The sequence below is a fragment of the Homo sapiens genome, chromosome 1 (assembly GCF_000001405.40).
Source record: "Homo sapiens chromosome 1, GRCh38.p14 Primary Assembly".
In the NCBI taxonomy this organism is placed as follows: Eukaryota; Metazoa; Chordata; class Mammalia; order Primates; family Hominidae; genus Homo; species Homo sapiens.
Genome location: NC_000001.11, coordinates 224,422,451 through 224,440,963, shown reverse-complemented (window position 1 = coordinate 224,440,963; position 18,513 = coordinate 224,422,451). Strand labels below are relative to the sequence as shown.

General features: G+C 41.6%; 2 protein-coding genes across 16 annotated transcripts in view, besides 4 other annotated features; one reads left to right on the top strand and one right to left on the bottom strand.

Moving 5' to 3' along the window:
* CNIH3 (cornichon family AMPA receptor auxiliary protein 3) overlaps positions 1–6,324 on the bottom strand; it is a 305,915-nt gene extending 299,591 nt beyond the window's left edge. For 10 of the 13 annotated variants that reach the window (NR_136293.2, NR_136291.2, NR_136294.2 and 7 more), the window contains exon 1: positions 5,777–6,115. Coding sequence is in view for 2 of the 13 variants with exons in the window: in NM_001322302.2 (NP_001309231.1) it covers positions 5,777–5,875 (99 nt within the window). In the remaining 11 variants the exon portion in view is untranslated. Of the gene's footprint in view, positions 1–5,776 lie in introns of all 13 variants that reach the window. The other 3 variants (NR_136289.1, NR_136290.1, NR_136288.1) reach the window with 1 other exon arrangement.
* Positions 5,259–5,448: an enhancer, noted in NCBI's record as "active region_2612". NCBI's record gives its function as "activates an Ori minimal core promoter by ATAC-STARR-seq in GM12878 lymphoblastoid cells {active_cell/tissue: GM12878}" and the evidence as "EXISTENCE:reporter gene assay evidence [ECO:0000049][PMID:35858748]".
* Positions 5,789–6,188: a silencer, noted in NCBI's record as "silent region_1853". NCBI's record gives its function as "represses an Ori minimal core promoter by ATAC-STARR-seq in GM12878 lymphoblastoid cells {active_cell/tissue: GM12878}" and the evidence as "EXISTENCE:reporter gene assay evidence [ECO:0000049][PMID:35858748]".
* The window catches only part of WDR26 (WD repeat domain 26), a 49,652-nt gene continuing 37,305 nt past the window's right edge, over positions 6,167–18,513 (top strand). For 2 of the 3 annotated variants that reach the window (NM_025160.7, NM_001379403.1), the window contains exons 1-4: positions 6,167–7,280; positions 9,183–9,282; positions 9,383–9,487; positions 16,310–16,446. In NM_025160.7, coding sequence (NP_079436.4) covers positions 6,859–7,280; positions 9,183–9,282; positions 9,383–9,487; positions 16,310–16,446 — 764 coding nt within the window. In that variant the 5' untranslated portion in view covers positions 6,167–6,858. The remainder of the gene's footprint in view (positions 7,281–9,182; positions 9,283–9,382; positions 9,488–16,309; positions 16,447–18,513) is intronic. The other variant, NM_001115113.3, reaches the window with a different exon arrangement.
* Positions 11,404–11,993: an enhancer, noted in NCBI's record as "H3K27ac-H3K4me1 hESC enhancer chr1:224616673-224617262 (GRCh37/hg19 assembly coordinates)". NCBI's record gives its function as "activates a minimal SCP1, AML or CMV promoter by ChIP-STARR-seq in naive H9 embryonic stem cells {active_cell/tissue: H9 hESC(naive)}" and the evidence as "EXISTENCE:reporter gene assay evidence [ECO:0000049][PMID:30033119]".
* Positions 11,994–12,583: an enhancer, noted in NCBI's record as "H3K27ac-H3K4me1 hESC enhancer chr1:224616083-224616672 (GRCh37/hg19 assembly coordinates)". NCBI's record gives its function as "activates a minimal SCP1, AML or CMV promoter by ChIP-STARR-seq in naive H9 embryonic stem cells {active_cell/tissue: H9 hESC(naive)}" and the evidence as "EXISTENCE:reporter gene assay evidence [ECO:0000049][PMID:30033119]".

The window sequence follows — 18,513 nt, the reverse complement described above, 5'->3', positions numbered from 1 at the left end:
ACGCCTGTAGTCCCAGCTACTCGGGAGGCTGAGGCAGGAGAATGGTGTGAACCCGGGAGGCAGAGCTTGCAGTGAGCCGAGATCGTGCCACTGCACTCCAGCCTGGGTGACAGAGCGAGACTCCGTCTCAAAAAAAAAAAAAAAACTTAATACTGTATACAGCTGTAAAATTCAAACACCAAGGAGTAGTATTAAATGGAAAAATAAGAACTTCTCCCCTCACTACCCCACTCCATCCATCAAAGAGAAACCCTGTTTATGCTTTTCTTTCCTACCAGAGAAAACAATATGTGCATATATACATAAATTTATTTATCAAAATGCATCATATTATGCACACTGTTTTGTAACATGCATTATTCACTTAATAACATATCTTGGTACTATATCCATATCAGTACATGGTGATTACCACTTTCTTTTTGCTCTTAATGCTTCAGGCCAGAAGCAGTTGCTCATGTCTGTAATCCCAGAACTTTGGGAGGAAAAGGCAGGAGGATTGCTTGAGCCCAGGAGTTAAGATCAGCCTTGGCAACATAGGGTGACCCTGCCTCTAGACAAAAAATAAAAAATTAGCCAGGTGGTGTGCACCTGTAGTTCCAGCTACTCAAGAGGCTGGGGCAGAAAGACCACTTGAACTTTGGAGGTTGAGGCTGCAGTGAGCTATGACTGCACCACTGTACTCCAGCCTGGACAACAGAGCAAGACCCTAACTCAAAATAAAATAATAATAATAATAATGCAGCCAGGTGCAGTGGCCCATGCCTGTAATCCCAGCACTTTGGGACGCCGAGGCAGGCGGACCATGAGGTCAAGAGATCGAGACCATCCTGGTCAACATGGTGAAACCCCATCTCTACTAAAAATACCAAAATTGGCTGGGCGCAGTGGCTCACGCCTGTAATCCCAACACTTTGGGAGGCCGAGGCGGGCAGATCACGAGGTCAGGAGATCGAGACCATCCTGGTTAACACGGTGAAACCCCGCCTCTACTAAAAATACAAAAAATTAGCCGGGTGTGGTGGTGGGTGCCTGTAGTCCCAGCTACTCTGGAGGCTGAGGCAGGAGAATGGCATGAACCCAGGAGGCGGAGCTTGCAGTGAGCCGAGATTGCGCCACTGCACTCCAGCCTGGGCGACAGAGCGAGACCCCATCTCAAAAAACAAAACAAAACAAAAACCAAAATTACCTGGGGATGGTGGTGCACGCCTGTAGTCCCAGCTACTCGGGAGGCTGAGGTAGGAGAATCACTTGAACCTGGGAGGCTGAGGTTGCAGTGAGCCGAGATTGCGCCACTGCACTCCAGCCTGGCGACAGAGCGAGACTCCATCTCAAAAATAAATATATAAATAAAAGTAAATAATAATGTTTCAGTGACTATCTTTGTACCCATAGCTGAGTGTTAAATGTTTTTTTTTTTTAATACGGCCCATACTGCAAAAGTGCTGCAAGTACAAACTAAGCAGTCTAATCCCAGCTGTGTGGTAGGAAAAGAATGATCTCGTTTCTATGGTTCATTTCAGTTCCTTCAGGAAATTTCCTGCAACATTGTTATTTATATCAAATGGGTCTCAAGAACATGAGAGGGCTACTGAGAAGAGGACTGTTTTCCACCTAGAGGAAGGTGAATATGTCTAACTGTTCACTGCTGGCTGTAAAGGCGCCTGTGGCAAAGCAGTCGTCCTGTCTTTGCGCTTAAATCCACCTGGTGTGCCGCCCCTACCCTTGCTTACAGGACTGTACTGAATGCCCATGGCATGAATGGAATGTTTGCAGAAGGGGAAAATAAGCAAGCGCTGGAGAGACATGCATAGAACAGCAGGTAAAACTGCCAGATGACTATGCCCTTCACCCACTCATGGAAGGCCAATATGAAGCCGTGTTCAGAGTCGTCTGCCCAGAGCTACAGAGGAATACAGCTGAGTGGCAGGGCTGAGTAAGAAAGTGACTACAGAGTCACAGCTCAGAAACAATCCTAACCAAAAAACCATCTTACACCTCTGCATTTAGCTGCCTCAAATCCTTTCTAAATGAAGAGGGATTTAAATTTTATTTTAAAATATTTCAACATAGTACTTTTCCAAATATTTGTTATATTCGTTATCTCATGACCCACACATTAACTCTAGCAAGCAGGTATGCCAATGTCATTATCCCCACTTAAACATGACATGCCTGAGGGGCTGCGAAAGTTAAATGACTTGCCTAGAGTCAATCAGCTGACCAACTGTTCTGGCCCAAGAACTGTGCTCTCCTGAATTCTCCCAATCCCACCCAGGCCCAACAAGTCCAGCTGGACAATTTTAGTGTTCCAAAGAAAAGCTAGGAATGAAGCTGGAGATATAAATATAAAAATATTCCTTCCCAAAGACACCTGAGATCTGAAAACACCTCTTCCTAACAAAAATTTAACAAATTAAATATCAATGTTGCTAAGTGCCAAGTTGATATACCACACTTATATCTGGACAGAACAACTACAGTCTCTACTAGTTACAAAGACTTGTGAGAAATGTTGGTTTTATGTTTTATTATAAACATTTATACTATCTCAGCTTTTTAAAATATGGTAGAGTTTAATTTTTACAGTTAAGATATTGTCTTGGGGTCAGGAGTGGTAGCTCACACCTGTAATCCTAACACTTTGGGAGGCCAAGACGGGAGGATTGCTCGAGCTCAAGAGTTTGAGACCAGCCTGGGCAACATAATGAGACTGTGTCTGTATTTAAAAAAAAAAAAAAGGCCAGCATGGTGGCTCACACCTGTAATCCCAGCATTTTGGGAGGCTGAGGTGGGCAGATCACGAGGTCAGGAGATCGAGACCATCTTGGCTAACACGGTGAAACCCCGTCTCTACTAAAAATAATAATAATAATACAAAAAATTAGCCGGGTGTGGTGGTGGTTGCCTGTAGTCCCAGCTACTCGGGAGGCTGAAGCAGGAGAATGGCGTGAACCCAGGAGGCGGAGCTTGCAGTGAGCCAAGATCGCGCCACTGCACTCCAGCCTGGGCGACAGAGCGAAACTCTGTCTCCAAAAAAAAAAAAAATAGTTGCCGTGGGCAGTACTAGTGATTTGTTAATTATATATCCAACACCTATTTCTTGAGTTGCCTTCTAGTCTAGTCTGGACTGGCTTATAGGAACGTTTTTCAAACTTTTTTGACAATGGCCTACAGAAGAAATATATTTTACTTTGTAAAGCATAGACATGTGTCTGTCATTGAAACAAAAATTTCACAAAATAATAATCACCCCTCTTTTGAGTGATTCACTTGGATATCTTCTATGCTTTTATACTTTGCCACCTTATTTTTAAAAATACAAATTATGGCCCACTAAATGGATTCCATGACTTACAAATGGGTCACAACCCAAAAGCTGAAAAATACTGGCTTATATGAACAATACACAGATCGTGCCCTCAAGGAATTTATACATTAGTTGGGAGTCTCATACAGTTCACAGACCTCTTACAGTTGGAAAGGCCTGGAGGTCAATTAGTTCCACTACCTACTCGATATTTGATTCTACAGCATCCCTGAAAAAAGGTGAGAAATGTGAAAAAGGCTTGTTTGCTATTTCAAGGACAAGAAGTTACCTCTTATTTGGAACCTAACACAAGATGGGTCAAATAGAGACCCGTTTTTAACAGGTCTCTATTTAAAACAGTACAGAAGCAAATACAAATGAATCAAGTATCAAAATACACACTTGATTTCTTTTTTCTAAAAGATAACTTGGACCTTTGTTCCTAAACCCATCTTAGTCCTTTTTAGGAGGAGGGTGAAAAGGGGAAGGTAAATCAGGGGGACAGAGGTCTAGAAAGCCTTCTCTCTGATGACCTGAAGAAGGGGTCTTAGCAAGTTACATCACAAGCAGCCTTCGTGATTGAGGAGCCTAATAAATGACACCCACAATGACGGCTAGGAGAGTGGAAGTCAGGAAAGGCTCCCCTGAGGAGGTTTGAAATGAGCTGAGTCTTGAAAGACTGACTGGCATCAGACAGGTGAAGAAAAGACGGGAGAGTGTAGTCAAAGACTCTCAAGGAGAAATGAGCCAGTACATTTGGCGGACAGTAGACAGGTCCCTGAAGAGGAGCAATAAGAGATGAAGCCAAAAAGAAAGACTGAAAGCAACCTGTGGTGAGCAAGACAGAATTTGGATTTTATTCTGTAGGTAATGTGGTGTTACTGAAGGTTCCTCAGTGTGTAGAGTGGTATTTCAGAATTGTTCATCTGCACATAGACCTGAAACTTGGCTTTAGAAAGACCTAAAGACCCAGAGTTCAGATAACAGATTCTCAAGCTGTGTTTTAGTACAGAGAAAAATGTTCTGTAAGGGACTTTATAAATTCAGAATTCTAACACGAGCAGTGTTGGTTACCTAAAAATTAGAAAAACTGGAATATAGAGTTTAGATAGCAATGGAATCCAATTTATTTTTCATCATTTTACTTTTGTTAATGAAGTGTGAGCTTTGTCTGTAGCTGCCATGAAGTGACTGATTTCCTTTATAAAACCTACAGTCTTTATTCAGAAGCAAGTCTTCAATGTTGCTATGGGCCTAATAAATTATTATAAACCATTTTGCAAAAATTAAATTTTGCCTAAACAACACTTTTAATAATAAGGTTGTCTAAAGTTAATATACAAACAGGGCTCTCTGAGGGTGTTAACTATCTAGTAATTCAGGCTCTGCTGGATACAGTGACAGAGCTCTATGAACCTCAACTAGAACTCAGGTCGGCCTCAGGTGAATATAAACACTGTATGTGAGTCACCTTGCAATTACAGCTGCCACCTGGAAGCAAATTTAAGCAGTAAGAACTACAAAACCAAATCCCTGTAAGATCCTGCATTGACCTTCCTCTTACTTCTTCCTGTCTGAGGATCCATAAACCTCAGGATTCTTTACTAATTTCTCATCAGCATCATTTTTTATTGTATTTCCAAATTTAAAAACAACTGTCTCCAAAGGCCTCAAAATTACTTTCAGTTATTACTATAATAAATATCAGCGATGTATGATGTATTAATTAGAAACTAAGGTGTTTTTTTTCCCCTCCCCACAGGAAAACTACTTCAGAGAAAGACTTTAAATTTCTGAGAAAATCTTTATACATATTGAGTATAGATGCTATCAACCACATACATGAAAATAATTGTTTGGGGATAATGCACACCATTTGCCAATGATTAAGATTCAGCCCAGTCTTTGTTGCTGCATTTCTACATTCACATAAATTGGTAAGTCATGATGACACAGAAGGCTCACATGCCACGTAAAAATTTCAAGCCTGGATCTGAATGGGTGCCTGAATCCTTCTCAGAATGCATATTTTGGAGGCAACTGTTTGGTTTATGTTACTGCTCCCTAAACTGGGCAGTGACTCAAGAGGCAGCTGGAAGAGAGAAGGAGGTGCTGGGCAAGTGCTAAAAAAGAGTGAAGCCTCAACAGCAGAGTCCCTCCCCTTCTCTACACACCACACAGCCTTTTTGTGACTTCTTGTCCCCATAAGATATGCTCCTCTAGACTAACTCCCCTTCCCAGGGTGGAGCAGAGTCTCACCGGCTCATTATCTCACAGCTCCCGGGATGGCCCCGGGTACAGCAACTGTGTGGCACTTGGCTGTGGAAATTCAAGTTTTTCCACCCTAAAACAAGTAGGTTGTGAAACCCGATTTCGGTCCTGGTTACCATTGAGAGGGGCCTACCACAGCCCTGTGCCTGGAAGTTCCTGCCTGTCGAAGCTCCTAGCCCCCTGCCCCATCCTCACCTTCTGCACCTGATGGAGAAGGTGCAGTCCCTCCGCGCACCTTACATGCCCATGCCACACTGGTGGACTCACGCACGCACGCCAACTCTGCCATCCCATGCACGCCCGGCTTCGGAGGGCGGCTACGAACTTACTGCTCGTCGAGCCAGCCGAGCCAGGGCGCAAGGGGAAAGGCCCGAGCGGGGCCGGGGATAGGATCGGATAGGAGTCGGGGTCGTGGATGGGGTCGGGGCGGACCCCGCCGGCCCGCTGGCCTCCCTCCCCTGACCCCCGGGACAGCCCCCGATGCACGTGCTGGGTGACAGGCCCCCTATAGGTTCCATACCTGCCACCGGAAGTGAGTGAGGAGGGCAGTATAGGCATTTCCTGTGACGCGAGCGCCTGGACTCCATTAGGCAGCAGCTGGGGGAAGAATCAACACACCAGGGAGCAGAGCGGAGCGGATCCGAGGACAGAGGCGGCAGCTGCCTCCGCTGCCGCCCGCCGCCGCCGCCGCCGCAGCCACTGCCGGGGCTCAGCCCAGCGGCGGGCCCCGCGCCCCCGCAGCCGCCCCGCGGCGCCCCCCGGCGCGACCCCCGGGCCGCGCACCCCGAGCTGCCTCCGGGAGGGGGGGGGGAAAGGGCCCGGATCCTCCTTCTCCCCCTCCTCCTCCTCCCCCTCCTCTCACCCTCACCCTCACCCTCCTACCCTGACCCCCTCCCCGCCTCCCCGGCCCCCCTCACCCCGACCCTCTCCCCGGCCCCCGCCTCCCCTCCCCCGCCTCGCCCCACCGGCTTCCCACCACGGCCTCTCTCGGCGAGGAAACTCTGGCCTCCGCTTCCTCCTCCTCCGACTCGGACACCGGCGGAGCCTCCCCGCCCCCGCGGAAGAAACCCCGAGCCTCGGCGGCGGAGGGAGTAGGAGAGCCCGGGGCTTCGGCAGGCAGAGCAGGCCTCTCCCCTCCGTCCTCGTCGTCCTCGTCCTCCTCCTCCTCCTCCTCCTCCGTGGTGGTAGTGGTGGGACTTCCCCCGGCTGCTGCCCCTCCCGCCGCCGCTGCTGTCCCCCACCGAAGTAGCGGCCACAGCCTGGTCAGCGGCAGCATCATGCAGGCCAATGGGGCAGGAGGAGGAGGAGGAGGTGGCGGCGGCGGCGGTGGAGGAGGAGGGGGCGGCGGGGGCCAGGGACAGACCCCGGAACTCGCCTGCTTGTCGGCCCAGAACGGGGAGTCGTCCCCCTCGTCGTCGTCGTCCGCGGGGGACCTGGCCCACGCCAATGGGCTCCTGCCTTCCGCCCCCTCCGCCGCCAGCAACAATAGCAACAGCCTGAATGTCAATAACGGGGTTCCCGGCGGGGCGGCCGCCGCATCCTCAGCCACCGTCGCAGCTGCCTCCGCCACCACCGCCGCCTCCTCTTCCTTGGCCACCCCAGAACTGGGCAGCAGCCTCAAGAAGAAGAAGCGGCTCTCCCAGTCAGATGAGGATGTCATTAGGCTAATAGGACAGCACTTGAATGGCTTAGGGCTCAAGTAAGTATCCCTTACCGCCAGCTGGTGATGGACAGACCGAGGGACGGAGGCTCCAGGGGGGTAGGGGAAGGGGCGGAGGGGGGAGGGGGGCTTGAAAGAGCTCGGTCAAAGAGAATGAGTGCTGGGCACGCAGGACCCAGTACACAGGAGGACGCGGCTCAGGGCGACCGGGGAGGAGGAGCGGACCTGAAAGGAAATAGGGGAAAATCAATCAGTCTGACAAATTGTGAGACGAGACAGGCGTTGAGGGGTTAGGAAGGGTTAGGAGAAACCCAAAGAATGACTTCTCCCCACGCACCTTCAGAGCTTAATTGTCTGTCAATAAAGACAGATGCGGGAGTGTGTTTCTGTATGTGTTGGGGGAGGGGTGGATTAGAGCTGGTGGAAATAATGAACCTTGGAGGATTTGTTTTTCAAGTGTATCTTGGAGGCATCTTTGTGGGACACCTCCCCACCCCCAACCGTGGCAGACAACAACCCAAGCAAACTACCAATCAGGAAAGACAATCACCTACAAGTGTTTATGGGAACGGAGGGGCTGGGATCATTTGGAAAGAGGTTGTTGAATAAATCTGATGCGAATAATGAAGATACAGTGTTGATGTCGTTTAAAGGCCCTTGTGTGTGTGTACAAGAGGCCTAACCCTAACTAGTCTGAAATCTCAGTTTAATACCAAGAAGATGATCGCCTCTGAAAAGGGGACATCTGATCTGGTGAACCATTTGTTTTCAAATACAATTTAGGTGGCCTTGTATACCTAACATAGGGTGAAGGTAGACAGCGACCTTGGACAAAAACCACCGTTTTGTATACACACAAAGAAAAACTAAGGGGGTGGAAGGTAGGATTGGTGGGAGTGCCTGATGAAGGAGGTGCAAGAGACGGAGTCAGAATGAAATGAAGGGGGGAGGACGTGCAGCAGCAGTCAGTTTCCTACATTCAGAGTGTAGATTAAGCTCTCAGGCTAGCCGATGTGTACTTTTGCATTTATGGATTTCTTGGGGAGTGGGGAGGAGAACAGAACTTTTTAAAAGTGGCACAAGTATTTCGGTTTTCAGGCAGATCATTGCACTGTTTAGCTAAAAATTAAGTTTTAAAGCTGAATAAGAAAGCATTGAAACATAAGCACAAAAAATAGACTGATAAATGAAGGTTCTTAGATACCAGAATACATGAGGGAAGAAAATACAGTTGATGAATCTTTTAAGTGCTCAAAGACAAATATGTGGTAGGAAGAATTCACTTTATTCCCTAGGGAAAAGGATTAGTATGAAAACAGATTTTGTAAATGCTAACAGAACATATTACTGAGACAAGAAGCAAGCTGACAGCAGCAGGAGGAAATAACTCGTGACTGTTTGGAACCTACACCATAGTAAATTTGCTATTTTTAGTATAGAGAGAAAGGGAATGATTTTTGATGCTGGATTTGTTTTAATTTTAAAGATTGACCTAGTAGAATTTCTATGCAATATAATACCTGGATATATAAGCTCTTAACTGATACGGTCATCTCTGTTAACCTTGTGTGAAGCTAATAATTTTTATCTTTCAAAATGTAACGTAGTATGTTGATTCTGGTTTTTCATTTATTTGACTAGTTGGTTACAGCACATTTTTAGAAATTTTATACTTTATGCATTAAATTGAGGCATTAAATGGCAAACTAGGAAGAACTTACATTGATTCTGGTTTCAAGAAAGGTTTTTAACTTGACTAGGAAAAAATGTAGGTGTCAGTTTTAAATAAAGTTTGTTTAACCAGGCACATGAAAGCTATTTTTTTCTTCATCATGAGGCTAGCTTAAAAACTTTGCATCTGTTTTCATGGACATTAGTTTATTTGAAGGATTAAAACCCTAAAATTGGTCAGGTCTGTTTTACACTGTATCTTTCCTGCAGCCAGACTGTTGATCTCCTCATGCAAGAGTCAGGATGTCGTTTAGAACATCCTTCTGCTACCAAATTCCGAAATCATGTCATGGAAGGAGACTGGGATAAGGTAAAGTAGGGCATATAGAGCTGTGTGACTGCTGCTAAAATTACAGATTTGATGTGCATTTTGTGACATTTCTGTTTTTCTTTTATACCAATTTTTACAGGCAGAAAATGACCTGAATGAACTAAAGCCTTTAGTGCATTCTCCTCATGCTATTGTGGTAAGAGGCGCACTTGAAATCTCTCAAACGTTGTTGGGAATAATTGTGGTAAATACACTTTTGTTCTTAGTTTCACATTTATGCTTATTTTAGTAGGTTATTGATAACTCTAGGCTTCTGCCTCTTATAAAAAAATAAGGCCTAAAAGTAGTTAAATTTCATATAATTTGTAAACTAGGATGAGTATAATGTTTTAAAGTATGAGTTTTATTTCTTTAAAATCATACTTAGTAAATGTGTCATTTGAACCTTATAAATTAAGCTCTACAAAAAATATATTGAAAGCTCTTCATGCTTTCAGTGCTACTAATAGAGGTTTTATATTTATAGAGTTAAAGATAAATTATACTTTTATTATGTTACTTAAAATACTGAATGTGCTGGTTAAAGAGAAAATGTGTTTGGGTGTGTGTATATCCATACAGCCTTAAGAAGCTGATACATTATCTTTTTTTTTAATCTTTGGGAATTACAGTTAATTCAAGCCAACTCCATTTGTGTGCTGGCCATTTTCCATTCTTGCATTCCAGTTGTGTGAATTGACAGTGTCAAAGTTTGTATAATAACGTATCACTCTGGTGGAGGGTTTGTGTGCAGATTTGACCATTTGGCCCTGCTTACTGGCCTTATTTCCCTGACAAGATCAATTTAGTAGTTTAACCTGTTAGCCGCTTTCATAATTCTTAATGAATCTTTTAGACTTATGGGCTTTAATTCTTCAGTAGATGGTGGTGAGGGAGAGAGGAAATAAGTTTTTTCTAAATGCTGGAGTTTGGAAACCATGAAGAATCAGCTGCTAGCTGCTGGCTTTTTAACTTCTAGCTGATTCATTTGTTGTCAAAAGCAGTTTCCTGTCTGGGGGTGGGGAGAGAAAGAAGGCAAATAGGAAGTGAAGTAGAGAAACCAGCTGTTTGTTAAATATTAGTAAATGACTATTACATTTTGATTTTTTTAAAATTGAGTCAAACATTAATCTTTTCTGCCTTTTTCTATAAAAATAAGGCCTTGTGTTTTTTTCTTTTGAAATCTTATTACAAAAGAGTTTTCAAACTCAGTATAATTCTACACAATAATATAATCCTAGAGAAATGGGCTTCAGGTGAATTAAAGGTGCAAACAAGCAAGAATAAATGCAAATTCATTTAAATTGATGATGTAGTGTATTATTTTTATTCTTTCATTAAATACTTAAAATATTAAAAATTTTAAACTACTGTTGACTAAGATGATTGGTAATAAGTTAACTTATAAAATAATTCTGTAGTAAAATTGAAAAATAAAAACAGAAGTTAAAATAGTTAAACATCTATATTCAAAGGGATTGGAAATTTTTCGTTAACTAAAGTTTCCTCAGTTGGTGTGTTTGGGGTTTAAAAAAAAAATACCCAAGTACATTTTATTGAGCAGTTCTGCATAAATTTTTGCTTCTGACTGAATGAGCTAAAATAAAAACAGTTAGATGGCCAAAAGAAGAATTAAGGTTGCTTTCCCATTGGGCAAGTTAGCACTACTTGTGTGTTGACAATAAAGAACTTGCCTGTGGACTGGTTTAAAATGTGTGTGATTTCTTGGAGGTTGTTTAAGCTTCGCCCAAATTATATCTGTAATTTAGTAGTAAAAAATTTAATAGGCTTACTTCCTATTTTTTTCTTATTTGTTTATAGTAATTTGAGAGTTCTGTATTGGATTTCGATTATGACTATCTCATTAGAAACCTTCATTAGAGGCAGCATGTAAACTGAAGAAAGGTAGTTATAGATAATAAGGAGGAATCCTTTCTTTTTACAGCCTGTTCAGTCTGTAGAACATTCTAGGATCTAATAAAAGATGAAGATTAAATCTCTGGCTGAGCCTCATGCCATCAAACTGTTTAGGTATTTATAAAAAGAAAAGGGTTCCAACTTTTATCTCACTTTAAGCATTGATGAATCAATTGCTTTTAAAGATTAATTTCAGCATTTTTTGAAGTTGCTCTTCACCTCTCTAATTGTGTTTAAATTTACTTTTCTCATCCATCCCATCTCCAGAAGAAGAGAATCTAATATAAGCTTAAATTTGTAATAATATCTTAGAAGACAACTATTAGGGTTTCTTTAAACGTAATTATTTTAATTGTATACCCAGACACATTTGATGGCTTAGTCTAGACTAAAATTGTACTTTATTTTTTAAGCCTGAATGTTTTCATTGACCCAATCCACTCTCTCTACAGCCTACTCCCTTTGTTTTTTTTGTCTGTTTGTTTGTTTTGTTTTTTTTTTTTTGAGATGGAGTCTCGCTCTGTCGCCCAGGCTGGAGTGCAGTGGCGCGATCTCGGCTCACTGCAACCTCGCCTCCCAGGTTCAAGCGATTCCACTGCCTCAGCCTCCGAAGTAGCTGGGACTACAGGCACATGCCACCATGCCCGGCTAATTTTTGTATTTTTAGTGTAGATGGGGTTTCACCATATTGGCCAAGCTGGTCCCGAACTCCTGACCTTGTGATCCGCCCGCCCCAGCCTTCCAAAGTGCTGGGATTACAGGTGTGAACCACTGCACCAGCTGTTTAAATGGTTTCCGATTAAATGGTACTAGGAATGGCAGAAGTTGCTTTCATGAATCAGCATTTTTTTTTTTTTTTTGAGATGGAGTTTCTCTTATTGCCCAGACTGGAGTGCAATGGCGCAATCTTGGCTCACTGCGACCTCTGCCTCCGGGGTTCAAGAGATTCTCCTGCCTCAGCCTCCCAAGTAGTTGGAATTACAGGTGTCCATCACCAAGCCTGGCTAATTTTTTTTTTTTTTGTATTTTTAGTAGAGATGGGTTTTCACCATGTTGGTCAGGCTGGTCTCGAACTCCTGACCTCAGGTGATCCACCCGCCTCAGCCTCGCAGAGTGCTGGGATTATAGGCGTGAGCCACCGTGCCGGGCCAAATCAGCATTTTTTAGTTTGGGTTCAAATATACTTCGCCATTTCTGGGCAATTTGGATGGGTATACGAGACCAATAATAGAAAACTTTTTTTATGTCTAGAAATATTTGGTTATTTTTTAATATAATGGAAATATGCTTAAGAAAAATTGGCATCTATAATTAACTAGTATATTTTAAAGTCAAATAGGAGTTTTGAGTGCCAAGTTTAGATATAATTTATTTCCCCTTTTCTCTGAGAAATCATGATTTAATTGATAAGATTTGGTTATGACCTTACTCCAGAGTTAGAACCATTACTGAATTAGCTAGGAGGCCGCCCTTGAGAACCAGACTTTCTAAGTATCGTAATTTCTGGGTTTTTCTTTCATGTTGAGTTCAGTTTAATAATATGGGAGCAAAGGAAGGAATAAAGCAATTCAGTATTGGGTGGACTAGGGGAGCAACAGCAGAATTTACGACGTGAAACTATCATTCAAGCTATCCTAGTCACTTAACAATTTCAAATTTATTAGATATTAAAATGGAGAAGGAGATCTTGCTGGGCCCAGAGATGGTAAAAAATCATTAGAGACCAGAAATAATCTCTTAAGAGATCTAGTTGGGAGTTGGGGAAAGACATAAAGGAGAGTTTATTTTCCTAATCTTTTTTTGTCTTTATTTCTTCAAGATTTTTTAAAAAATATAAACATTAGTAGAGCCCTGTCCCCATCTCAGCAAGCTTTAATTTTGTCTGATTTTTACAATGTTTTCAGTAAATATTTAACATTATTTGTTAATTAAAGGGTCTTTGCTTTCTTGAGGTTATATTTACATTTTTGTGCTTTAAATTTTGGGAGGTAAAATACAGTTTTACTCCCCACCCTTATCGTATGTGTCAAATACTTCAACTGATTTTTTGGAGAATAAACATTTTCTTTCAAACAGATCTCTAGCTGTGCTTGGCCAGCAGCATGTTAGTTGCCATGCACAATACCAGGATTTGATATCTGTTTGAGAATATTCTTGGTCTTGATCTGGATAAAATGACTCATAGAGAAATGCTCTTGTGCTACTTTTATAGCATTCCCTGTATATACAGAAATATGTGTTTATATTGGCTTCTCTCAGAGTTTTAGTCAGCCTTTCTCTGCTCTCCTGCCCCACCTCTGCCCCATAGAAAAAGAGTAACATGTTGTATCAAGATCTTGGTGGGAAAATAAGGGAGAAATAGCGCTTTGGGCACTGTCCCTGCACACATTGGAATGGGGGAGGGGTGGGCATAGGAGCCTAATGATTGATACCAAAAAAAATAAATATTAAGTAAATAAAAAACTTGCCCTGAAATTTTTTTTTAAGCCCCTCAATTCCCAATTACTAAGAAAATTTAGTGAAGAAATTACATCTCATGCTCTGGCCAGTTCCATGTGACATTTAAATGAAAAAGTTCTGCAACTGAATAAGATTTTCAAGTTTGAATTTAAAAAATACCACAAAATGGAATGAAACTTTTTTTTTTTTTTTTTTTTTTTGGAGACAGAGTTTTGCTCTCGTTGCCCAGGCTAGAGTGCAGTAGCACAATCTCGGCTCACTGCAACCTCCACCTTCCAGTTTCAATCGATTCTCCTGCCTCAGCCTCCGAAGTAGCTGGGATTACAGGCACCCGCTGCCACACCCAGCTAATTTTTTTGTATTTTTTTTTTTAGTAGAGACGGGGTTTCACCATGTTTGTCAGGCTGGTCTCGAACTGCTGACCTCGTGATCCACCCGCCTCAGCCTCCCAAAGTGCTGGGATTACAGGTGTGAGCCACCACACCCGGTGGAATGAAACTTTTAACATTATATTGATAAATGAAAATATATGAGGTCTTCATTTCATAGTTGCATTTTTTTCAGAAGCTAAAATGGTGCGAATATCCAGAATAACTTCAAATATAAAATTCTTTTATTTTTAGATTTTTTTTTTTTTTGCATTGTTTAGTTTTTGGTTTCTGTGACCTGATGAATGACAAAGTTTTTTCATTTAACATAGAAAGGTTAACTTCAGGCTGTATGTACAGTAATGTACTTTTCAGAGCATCTTGGTAATTAATGTATTTCTGAAACATTCATTAGTCATTCTAAATTTATATGTAAAATTTGATAAGTGTAATTTTCCCAGAGTTACAGGAGTGTCTCAGTTTGAATTTTTTTCTGTTCCTTAGCCGTATATTTAAGATGAGATTTGTATCAAGCAAAAGAAATGTATCTTATAAATTTAAATACATGCCTAACTTATATGAGAGGGTTTATTATTGCTTACTTTCTCTAGAAACCACTTTTATAAGCTTACAGTTTATATCTCTCTTCTAAATACTCCTTGATAGAAAATCTTGTAGAGCAGTTTATTATACTGTTAATTCTGCAAATAAATGGTAATTTCTCCACAGCATTTCGTGACAGCAGTGTATTTTTTTATGGTTTTAAAGTAAGCATTTTGGGCCGGGTGCGGTGTCTCATGCCTGTAATCCCAGCACTTTGGGAGGCCAAGGTGGGCAGATCACTTGAGGTCAGGAGTTCAAGACCAGCCTGGCCAACATGGCAAAACCCTGTCTCTACTAAAAATACAAAAATTAGCTGGGTGTGGTGGCGGGTGCCTGTAATCCCAGCTACTTAGGAGGCTGAGGCAGGAGAATCGCGTGAACCCAGGAGGCAGAGGTTGTAGTAAGCCAAGATCACGCCACTGCACTCTAGCCTGGGCCACAGTGAGACTCTGTCTCAAAAAAAAAAGAAGAAAAGCATCTTACGAAGAAGAAAAATTGTACTTTAAGTTTTAATTTTAAGTGGACTTGAGATCTTTACCGCTGTATTCCTTGGAGTCTCTAAATATGACTAACATTTCCTACCTACTGATGTCTCTGTTTACATTAATTGGCTTGCTCAAGCTCCACAAGTAGCAACTATGATGAAAAGGTCCCTCCAACCTGTGGTCCTTAATTAGGTTTAAGGTTTAAAAGAAGTTTCAAAATGATGTTTATAAATATCCCTTTTCTCTTGTAAAAAACTGCTAAGATTGTGACCACGTGGTTTCAAGTTAAAAGTAAAATAATAAAGTAGCATTTAAAAGTATTAAAGTCAAAAACACAGTTCAGGAAAAAACTAAATGTGAAAGTGTCTCACAGCTGGAAAGTGGTTTATTGGTTTAGGGGAGAAAAGAGCGAATAATAATTTCCTGTGCTTCACTTTTAAATGCATCAGTGATCAGATTGTCAGAAATACACAAGTACAAATATTGAATCTTTTTAAAAACCTTTAAGTTCAACCATCTAACGTAGACATCCCTTAATAGCCGCCTAGAAGAGAGTGAGTGCATCAAGCTTATGCTTGTCCACGTTAGTTGTAGGAAATTCAATACTTTGCACACCAACTTGTAGTACATTTGTTGGACAGCTCTTAACTTTTGATAAGCCAAAATATACTTTTCTCCTTCTCCTGAGTGTGTCTAGTTCTGATTTCTGGTCTACTTATTCCCTCTTTCACATTGTGACTTAAATAGTTCATTTGCTATTTTTTTCTCTAATCTTTTCAAAACTTGTTGCATAAAACCCCCCAGTGCCCTAGTTATAAAGTCATACTTCTTAAAAAGCAAATTTCAAGTACTTGGAATAGTTCTAAATTTTTATACAAGAACTACAATTGTAGGAGATTGCTTTGAGAGGAGAATTCATTTTTTCCAAGGCTGATGCCTCAGTCACTAATGATCTAGTCTGATTTGAGATTATTTGTTCAAAGCAGAGTTTTAGTAAGATGTGGAATTGAGCAAAGTCACATTTAATCTACTGTGGCTCTACTAAACTAAAATATTTTGAGTCATCTTGAAGCTTTATAAAAAGTTATTTCAAAGGGCATAGTAGAATGGTTTCTACTGTTCTGTTTAGGCACAAACATTTTCTGAAACTTCCATCAACTTTTTTCCCCTGACTGCTGCTTTCTGTCATGTCAGAGGATGAAGTTTTTGCTGCTGCAGCAGAAGTACCTAGAATACCTGGAGGATGGCAAGGTCCTGGAGGCACTTCAAGTTCTACGCTGTGAATTGACGCCGCTGAAATACAATACAGAGCGCATTCATGTTCTTAGTGGGTAAGGAAACTGAGTTCTTGAACTCAGGTTAATGGAGGGCCAAAGTTATATTTCTTTAACATTTTTCCAAAATATAAAATCTTGATTATTGCTAAATTCTTAGATATTTGTCTAGGTAAACTCACTCCTGTGTGGATCAACTATTTTGGTCATTCTAGGAAACTGTTCAGATTAGGATAGAGATATATTTAAGTGGGTGAAAGGGAGAAGAAAATATGTATTGCCTGTGAAATGCTATTTTAGAATGTTCTATGAAAACCCTATTACATTCCAAGGACAGCTTTTGTAGTTAAAAACAAAATAAAAATCATATGATATGGATCACAGTAAACAATGACATTTCCAGTATTGGTGCACACTAACTTTTTTAAGTGAATACTTGTCATGTGCCAGGCCCTTGCTAAGCTTTTCACATAAACAGCCTCATTTAATCCTCACATCAACATCAGTCCTTTTTTGGGGGGTGAAGGGTAGAGACAGGGTCTTACAGTGTTGTCCAGTGTGATCTCAAACTCCTGTGATCTTCCCAGAGTGCAGGGATTACAGGCATGAGTCACTGTACCTCGCCACATTAATCCTTAAAATGTTAGAGTACCCAAAGGTTTGATCCTGGGCCTCTTTATTCTCTATCTACATACTCTTTTTAGGTAATCTCATTCTATACCATGCCTTCACATACTATCTGTATACCAGTGGCTCTTAAATTTAGCTTCTCATCTGAACTCCCAATATGTATATCTACTGGCATACCTGACATTCTCCACTTGGATGTTTAATAGATGTCTCAGTTGTATGAGGCTGGTGTGCAGTGGCACAATCATAGATCACTGCCACCTCTAGTTTCTGGGCTCAAGCCATCCTCCTGCCTCACCCTCCTAAGTAGGTAGGATTTCAGGCATGTACCACCACATGTGGCTAATTTTTTCATTTTTTGTAGAGACAGGTCTCGCTATGTTGCCCAGGCTGGCCTTGAACTCCTCCTAACCTTAAGCAATCCACCTGCTTCGGCCTCCCAAGGTGCTGGGTTAATAGGCATGAGCCACTGCACCCAGCCTCAAAACAAAATTCTGGATTCACCCCTTCATGATAAATGCACTCAACAAACTAGGAATAGAAAGGAACTTCCTTGACCGAATAAAGGGCATTAATGAAAACTCACAGGGCTGGCAGTGAAAGACTGAAACCTCTCTTCTTGTGATCAAGAATAGGACAATGATGTCTACTCTTGCTACGTCTGTTCAACATTGTATTGGAGGTTCTAGCCAAGGAAATTAGGCAAGAAAAAGGAATAAAAGATTGAAAAGGAAAAACTATCTCTGTTCAAAGATGTCATGATTTTATATAAAGAAAATTTAAGGAATCCACTAAAAAACTCTTAGAACTAATAGGCAAGTTCAGCAAGGTTGTAGGATACAAGGTCAATACACAAGAATAATGGTATTTCTATAATCTAGCAATGAATAATTCAGAAAATGGAATTAAGAAAACAGTTTTATTTACACTAGTATAAAAAAGAATAATTTAGGAATAAATTTAACCTCTACAGACCTGTGCCACTTCCAGTATATCGCAAGATCTTCAACCCAGTTGCTTAAGGGAAGAACTTAAGCCTCATATTGCTTTTTCTTTGTCTTTTAACTTTGACATGTATGGCCTAATTCTAAAAAATATAAAATTTTCATTTCTCTGAATCTCCACAGTTTCTAGCCTAGTTAAGCCATGGACATCTCTCCTAGAATATTATAGTAGCTTCCCACCTAGTTACATTGTCTTCACTCTTAATTTCTTTCCTTTTTTTTTTTTGAGACAGAGTTTCACTATTGTCACCCAGGCTGGGGTGCAATGGTGCAATCTCAGCTCACTGCAGCCTTCGCCTCCTGGGTTCAAGTGATGCTTCAGCCTTGCCTCCTGAGTAGCTGGGATTATAGGCATGCGCCACCACACCCGGCTAATTTTGTATTTTTAGTAGAGATGGGGTCTCACCACATTGGCCAGGCTGGTCTCGAACTTCTGACCTCAGGTGATCCACCTGCCTCAGCCTTCCAAAGTGCTGGGATTATAGGCGTG